Source organism: Homo sapiens, chromosome 3 (genome assembly GCF_000001405.40).
Source record: "Homo sapiens chromosome 3, GRCh38.p14 Primary Assembly".
In the NCBI taxonomy this organism is placed as follows: Eukaryota; Metazoa; Chordata; class Mammalia; order Primates; family Hominidae; genus Homo; species Homo sapiens.
In genome coordinates, this window is record NC_000003.12 from 16849196 (window position 1) to 16857980 (window position 8785).

Genomic DNA, 8785 nt, shown 5'->3' on the forward strand with positions numbered 1-8785 from the left:
GCTCTATTTGCCGTACTATAATCTACGCGTGCTCCTGATGAGTCAAGATCAATACTCTTTCAGGGTGATTGCATTTGTTTATTTATTTATCCCACTTATGCATCAGCACAAAAATTAAAATTCAGGGTCAGTTATTGCTGGGGAGTGTTCTCCGCAATGTAATTTGGTTGCTAGGAAACCTGTGGGCGGGCGTTAGCAAGAGGAAGAGAAAGCTCCTCCGCCAGCAATTCAATAGCAGTATTGGCTTTCATTTCAAACGTGCTAAATAATAGGGCCCTGCAATTTGCCTCCGTTAGCCCAAGTTGCTTACGTTTCTTCCTGAATGGAAAATTAATCTGGTTTAGTGCCGGGTAACATTTGCAACCATACTTCCTCTGCCAGGCATTAAAAAAAGAAGTTTCCCACTTTGGGAAATAAGAAAGTTCTGTGTCTTTCTTCATGTTTTATCATGTTTTTTTTTTTTTTTCCTTTCTTTTCCTTTTCTCTCTCTCTCTCTGTCAAGAAAATGCATCATGTTAACAGCCTTTAAGCCCAAGATCAAGCCAAGAGGTAGCAGAGCTCAGGAAAAAGAGATCAGGACAGCCCTTTATTTCTAGGGTGTAGGTAGGGTTGGGTATAAAGAGTTCTGCTAGGGTCTGAGGAGGAGATAAGAGAATTGACCTAGGCATAGAGAGTGCTTGGGGAACTTGGCAAGAGGTAAAAGGAAACCACATTTCTATGTCAGCTCAGGTCCAGCATATCCTCTACTTGACCCCTGTCCACACATAAAGCAGAACATAACATCTTGCATAGAGTAGGTGCTCAAGAAACATGTGTTGGCAACACACAAATCCTAATGTAATGAGCCTGGATACAGGAATTCTATCAGAACAGCTGCAGTCAGTCATAGCGTTGTTGGGGTGCGTGTTTTAGGCCTTATGTAATTTCCTGTCTCGGGATGAAAAAAAATGGACTAACAGCCAAGGCTGGCAAGCTGTTCCTGGCTGAATGTGAACCAGGCTCCAGTTCCACATCCCCAAAAACCCTCCTATGCTTTCCCCCTTTTGAGTAAATTAATTTTTATCTGCCTGCTCTGAGTTTGTAAGAGCTATTAAGAATGGGTCAGTGCTACCTTCAGAACAGATTTAACAGGATCCCTATGCCTTTGCAAGATTTCTAAAACCTGGTCCAGGCTAGGGATACCAAGACACTATCTTGAGGTTCTTTGGAAACGTGTCTTCTCTCCTTTCTTCCTTCCTGTTGCTGTAGGTAATTTTCTCAGGGCTGGATTGATCCAGCCTGCTGACTAGGCTTCCTCCTGGGATACTCCTCTTCCATTCTACCCACTGTGTCCTCACAACCTTCTTCGTCCATATGAGGTCGTTCGTAGAATCTTCTCCAATCGTTTGTCTTTTCTCTTGATACTACGTGCATCCACTGTTGTTTCACAGGATGATATCAGCTCTTTTCAAAACCACAGACAGCAGAACTCCCAGGTCAGTGTGCCTTAAAATGGAAGCCAAGCCATCTTGGTGGTCTTCAGAGATTTTCTCCAGGGGCTGGGAGCTCTCAAAGTTTGAGTCACTATGCCCTTGTAGTTTTTCACTTGAGCAGCTCACCCTCTATAGTGCTTGTATCATTGAATTTTTGAACTCAAGCTTGTGGTTTACACTGATCTTACAATGGGCAGTTAGAGGGGAGAGGCACAAATAGGAGAAAGAGAGAAGAAGAAATCAGAGTTAGATTTTTAGAAGTTAGGCATGCAAGGAAAGAGAACAAATGGAACCATCGGCAGAAGAATAAACAAGAACCAAGACGGAAGAAGCCAGTTAGGTTCCATAAGGACTTAGTGATCTTAGAGCAAAAACCATGCCTTCAGATGACTGAAGAGAAATAGATGGCAGAATAAGAGAATAAGGAATGTTGAGAAGAGGTGAAGGCCCAGAGCATAGGGATTTGGATAGGTCTTTTGGGGAGAGGGTAGTGCTTATTACAATTAGCAGGCATTGGCCCGGGTAAGACAGATCATAGGAAATGGAATTCCTCTTCCTCTCATCCTTTCTCCCACTTCTGACATTTTCCATTCTTTTTTCTTCTCTTTGGGGTATCTTACATTTCTTTTCTCTTCCCTGAATGAATCAATTAATCAATCTTCCTCCCTTCTCTCTTGCCTTAAAAGTGTTTTTGTGAACTGTAGGTCTTGACCTATTAACAGGTGATGAAATCAGTTTTGAAGCATTTTCAAAACATTGAAATAGAATACAATAGTAAGCTGGGTGCGGTGGCTCCCGCCTGTAATCCCAGCACTTTGGAAGGCTGAGGTGGGCGGATCACCTGAGGTCAGGAGTTCAAGACCAGCCTGGCCAACATGGTAAAACCCTGTCTCTATTAAAATACAAACATTAGCCGGGTGTGGTGGTGTGCACCTGTAATCCCAGTTACTCGGGAGGCTGAGGCAGGAGAATCACTTGAACCTAGGAGGTGGAAGTTGCAGTGAGTCGAGATGGCACCACTGCACTCCAGCCTGGGTGGCAGAATGAGACTCTGTCTCAAGAAAAAAAAAAAAAGAAAGAAATAGAAAAGAATATAAAGAATAAAAGACAATAAAATAGAAAATATTTGTGTGCAACTTAGGGTCAGGGCAAACTTGTTTCAGTTATGTGTGTGTAAAATTATTTCAATCAGTCAAGAAAAGTTTGAAGGCAACTAGGATATAATTTACAACTGAGGAAATTTCTTTATTATTTGGTATAATTAGTAATGTTTTTGATGAGAACTTTTAAGAGGGTCATGTTGATAAAGTTTTAATATTTCTTTCTCTCAACTTCTGTCCCAAACAAAAATATCTTGAATTTTTAAATTACTTTTCCCTGAATTTTTTTTCTTGTGTATTAGCACCCCTGGAAAGAAAATATGTTTTGTAGCTGAAAAACATCCTAATACTCAGAGTTTATACAGAATATGGACTTCAGTTAAACCCGTAGGCAATCTCCATTTTCTGGATACAAATTAACTGCAATGGGTGGGTTGTTGGCTCAGAGAAGGTGAGTTTTATTAACACTCTTGGATGCAGTTATGGCAGGCAACAGAATGTTGAGACATGCAATCAGTTAATTTTTTGTAAAATATGGCAGGCATGGCCTGGAACTAGGAGAGATAAGTGGAGAGTAACCAACCCTACCTTCAAGAAATTTTCCTCCTTGACCACAAGTTTATATTTTACTTCTGGTTTACTTGATATGTTCCTTTTCACTAAACATTTTAATAACATACACCTGTATAGTAATTTCGCCATCATTTTAAATTTTTTCTGTTTTGTAAATTGTAAAAGTTATATATATTTGTTGAATCAAAGTCAAACAATACAGACATGTAAAGGAAAAGCTCAAAAAAATCCTCTTCTCACTACATCACCACTCCCCCACCACACACACATACATAGCCCCCCGTTTCATGCCTCACTTCAATATCCTTTTGGCCTGTATCCCTCTAGATATAGACAAATGCTATGAACGTTTTAATGTGCACACAAGTCACCTGGGACCTCGTTAAATACAGCTTCTAACTCAGCAGTTCTGGGGTGAGCCCTGACACCCCACATTTCTAACAAGCTCTCAGGTGATGCTGATGCTACAGGTCCAGAGATCACGCTTTGAGTAATGAGGGGCTAGACTGTTGCACTGTCCTGTACAGTATCTAATCACCACATATGACTATTGAAATTTAAATTTCAGTTACTTAAAAAGGAGAGAAAGTATTCTTTTACAAGCTGCCTTTTCTTTTTTTCTTCTTAAGTCATATATATTACCTTCTAATCTCCCGAAAATGATTTTTAAATTTTATTTTTATTATATGTTTACATACAGTATTTAACAAAAATATTGAGATCACACATAATTTTTGGTGCATATCTAATGAAATATTTATACTGAGAGAAGGATGATTATCTGCTTATCATTTATTCAGCTATTCATTCATTCAATGAGAGTTGTTGAGTATCTACTATGATCATCTAGACAAAACACAGACCTTGATATCAAATTATTTTCAGTCATAAATTGAGAGCTTAAAATTTGTAGCCTATCTCCATATCAGTAAAACTGCCCGCAAACTATCTTTTACCCATAATTGGCTATCCTCTGTTTAAGAAACTGATACACACATAGAATAAGATCCCATAGTCTCACAAGGATGGACATGATTTAAACCCAAGTGATCTTAACTGGGTGAATTCCTGCACCCTGATTTGTGCCCAGGCCAAAAAAAGTTCACTCACTTTAATCAGTTGCTTTTATGGAAGGAATATTCTTGTTGCTTTTGACTTATAGAGTAATGCAGGTTTTCTTTTTAGAAAGCACTTACGAATTCTTTAAATTTGTTATTAATCAACTTATTGAGGCACAATTTACTTACAACAAAATGCGCAGATTAAAGGTATACCATAGGATGAGCTTTAATAAATGTATACCCTTGTGTATATTCTGCACTATCCTGATGTTGAATATTTCTGTCACACAGTATAGTTTCATTCTGCCTCTTTGCACTCAAGCACAACTTCCACTCCTACTCCCCCTCCCCACCACAGGCAACCGCTGTTCTGATTTCTGTCATTATAGTTAAGTTTTGCAGGTTTTAGAACTTTTCATAAATGGAATCATATTATAGTGTATACTCCTTTTTGTCATTCAGCATAATGGTTCTGAGAGTCATCGTGTTGTTGTGGTGTTGGTACTTTGCTCCTTTTTATTACTGAGTAGTATTTCATTACATGAAGGTACCACAATTTGTTTATTACTCAACTGTGGTGAACATTTGTGTTGCTTCCAGTGTGAGGCTATTCTGGATAAAACTGCTATATACATCCATGTATATTACTTTTAGTAGATATAAGTTTTATATCATCTAGAAGTAGCTGAGTCATACAGTAGATAAATATCTACCTTTAGAAGAAGTTACCAAATTACTTTCCAAAGTGGTTGTACCACTTTACATACCCACTGGTAATGTACCAGTGTTCATTTCTCCACACCCTCGTCAACAGTTGGTGGTGTCAGTCATTTTAATTTTTACCAATTCTAGTAAGTGTTAAATGGTTTCTCATTGTGGTTGCAATTTTCATTAATGTTGAGTGTCTTTTATTTTTGAACTCTTTAGCATTTGTATAACTTATTTTTGAAATGGCTGTTCCAGTCTTTTGCTCATTGGTTTGTTTCTTATTAATGGATTGTAAGAGTTCTTTTTATATTCTGGATACAAGGCCAGGGTGAGATATGTGTATTGCTAATGCTTTCCCTCAGCAACTGGTTTATCATTGCATTTTCTTAATGGTGACTTTTGAGAAGCAGAAGCTTCCTAATTTTGATGGAATATAATTATCTATTTTTTCTTTTATGGCTAAAACTTCTTACTTCTTAAGAAATCTTTGCCTACCCCAAATGGCAAAGATATTTTCTTAGAGTTCTTCTAGATGTTTTATAGTTTTAGCTTTTACATTTAGGACTATGATCCATTTTGAGTTAATCTTAGTGGATAGTGTGAGATAAGGGTTGAGATTCAGTTCCTTTCATATAGATATCTAGTTGTTCCAGCATCATTTGTTTAAAAGACTATCCTTATCCTTTTCCGTTGAATTATATTGGCACTTTTGTCAAAAATCAATTGATTGTATATGTGTGGCATGATAGGTTTAGTTAAGCACTGGTATATTTAAGCACTAGTATATTTTTACATTTTTTTCAATCTTAAAATCTTGAATGTATTCAGGCCTGGGGTGATGACTAGAACTGATCTAGATGAGAACAGTCAAGCAGTGTGCATTGCAGGACATTTCCTACCAAGCTCCTCATTTTCTGATGCTCCTCTATGCTTCCACAGGGAGACTGTACAATAGGCACATGCTCCCTGGGCCCAGTCGGACAGCGGCCTCTTAAAACTCCATAGTCCCATCCCCTCACCCATCACCTCAGCCTACCCCTCCTTCAAGTCCTGAGAGTACTAGAAGAGAGGACCTCTCATGCTTTGAGGCAGAACCTAGCACACCGGTGGCAGTAGTCAGGATGGAGCCTTCCTCATGGACCTGAAGACTTCTCTCTGAACCACCAACTGGCCCTTTCTGTTGGGCTTAAGGGGACCACAGGGTGTAGGAGACAGTTGGGGTACATTTAAATCCTGCTCTATAGTAAGCCCTACTTGATGAGGTTGTAAATCGTGGTTCATTGCTTCAGTTGCTTTATGTTTAAAGTACTCACTAATTTCATTCAGCAAGGAAGAATGATCTAAAGAAAGAACCTGAAACTTGGAGTTAGAGCCCAAGACTTGGATTGGAGTTCCAGTTCTTTTACTTGCCTAGTGTGTACTCATCATAAATAATAAGAGTGCTGTTAGTGACACACAGGATTGTTGTGAGCATCAAATAAGAGCACTCTGCAAATTGTGTATTCAAACGGTATTTTAAGCATCTTTCCTTCAGTAGCCCCAAAAGTTGCTATATTCAAATCTGAGTCATTACTTAAATAGGCTTTGTTGAAATAAAGTGCATAATGACTTTGAGTGGATCCACTCTCTTTAAAAACTCATCAGCAAACATTTGCTTCCTGAGTGATTCCTCTGTAACTTTGAAATACATGAGAAATGATTCTATAGAGGATAACTGCTGCAAGCCTAGGTCATAGTCAACTTGTCATTTGTTAAGGATTAATACTTTTGCTGAAAATGTATCAAAAATATTGGCAAGAGCATGGGCTGGACATAGAGTACTTTCTTTATGGCATATAAACAAAAACAAAACCTTTCCCCAAAAGGCTATATAATACCTTACTTCATGTATTATGAAATATGTATCATTATATTTTCCCCTGATATTAATTAATTTCAATAAATATTTTGTTGGTAAACATTTTTCCCTAACTATAATGGTGATGCACACTCATTTTAGAAAACTAGGAAACTATAGACATGTATAAAGTTGAAATTGAAAATTGCCTAGCATCTTCGCACTGAGAGATAACCATTATTAACATTTTAATGAGTATTTTTGTAGCCATTTGTACTCATATATATATGCATTTTTAGAAAATTCATAAAGTATTTTTGATATAGTTTTGCACATTGCTTTTTTCTCATTATAAGCAGATTTCAATGTTAATGAATATGTTCAGAAAAATAATTTTGAAAGCTGCCTAATATTTTATCTATACTTAGAATTTCTAAAAATTATTTAAATATTGTTTTTCCTAATTATTATTAAATTAAATTTATCAAAATTAAATTTTATCTACTTAAATTTGTAACTGTTGAATTTCAGTTGCTGAAAGAATTCTGTTTACTGTAAGAAAAATAAAATATGTCCACTCAAATACACACACTAATTTTAAAGGTAGATCATGCATTTTTAGCAGGGACAATATCAACTAAAAGGAATTAAAAAATTGGTTTTGAGTAAAAAGATCTTTCTTTTTTTCATGGATAAAGTATAGATATACTGTACATAGAGTATAAAAACAGATATGCAGTATATCAGTAGTATTAATATTTCATGGAGAAGAGAGATGATTAGAAAAAAAGTCTAAAAAGATTTCTTAGGAGGTGATAATGAAAGATAGATTAAGAAACACTGAGATAATCTTGTAGAATTAAAATCCTGCAGGGCAATGCAATTGCTTTAAACTTATGCTCATTTCAACGAAATAAGTTTCCTCTCTAACATACAGAATCTTCTGATGTTCTATCTGGTATCAGGTAGTCATTTCTTTTTGAGTACAGGATGCAGAGAAAAGAAAATATTCAAGTTAAATTAAGGTTGAAATTTCACATGTTGTAATTCCATTTAAATAATAGCACTACATTCTAACACTATTCATTGTCAAATGGAAAACTCATTTTCTTACTTTAAAAACCCAGAATCAATCATTTGTCTCTTAAAAGAAAGTATTGTGGTTATGTGCTTTGTATTTTAATTTGACAAACTTCAGTGGTTTTCCAAGAGTATCAACTGTAGTTTTATATGCAAATCTAATAATTGAAAAGACACAATCACCACAAGAACAAAAATGATAGCAAAATGCACTGACTTAGGTTGTCTTTTAATAACAGCTTTATTGAGACATAATTCACATCTATAAAATTCCCCCTTTTAGAATGAACTTTTCAGTGGTTTTTAGTATATTTACATAGTTGTATAATCATCAGCACTATCTAATTTCAGAACCTTTTCATAACCCTAAAAAGAAAGCCCACACCTATTAGCAGTCACTCCCCATTTCCCTTTCCCAACAGCCCTTGAAACCATTAATCTACTTCCTATCTCTATCAATGTTTCTATTCTGGACCATTCATAGATTTAGAAGCATACAATACATGACCCTTTGTAACTGGCTTCTTTCACTTAGCATAATGTTTTCAAAGTTCATCCATGTTGTAGTATCCATCAGTACTTCATCCTTTTTTATGCTCTGAATAATACTCCACTGTATGGTTATACTACGTTTTGTTTATCCATTCCTTAGTTGGACATCTGGGCTGTTTCTACTTTTTGGCTGTTATAAATAATGCTGCCATGAACATCTATGTATTAAGTTTTGTGTGGACATATGTTTTCAACTTTCCAGATACATACCTAGAAGTGAATTATCAGGTCATATGATAATTATGTTTATTTTGAGAAACTATGAAACTGTTTTCCAAAGCAGCTGTAACATCTTACAATCCCATCAGCAATGCATGAGGGTTCCAATTTCTTCACATCTTCATCATTTGTTATTGTCTTTTTAATTTTAATTATCCTTGTGGGGCTGAAGTAGTTTTAATT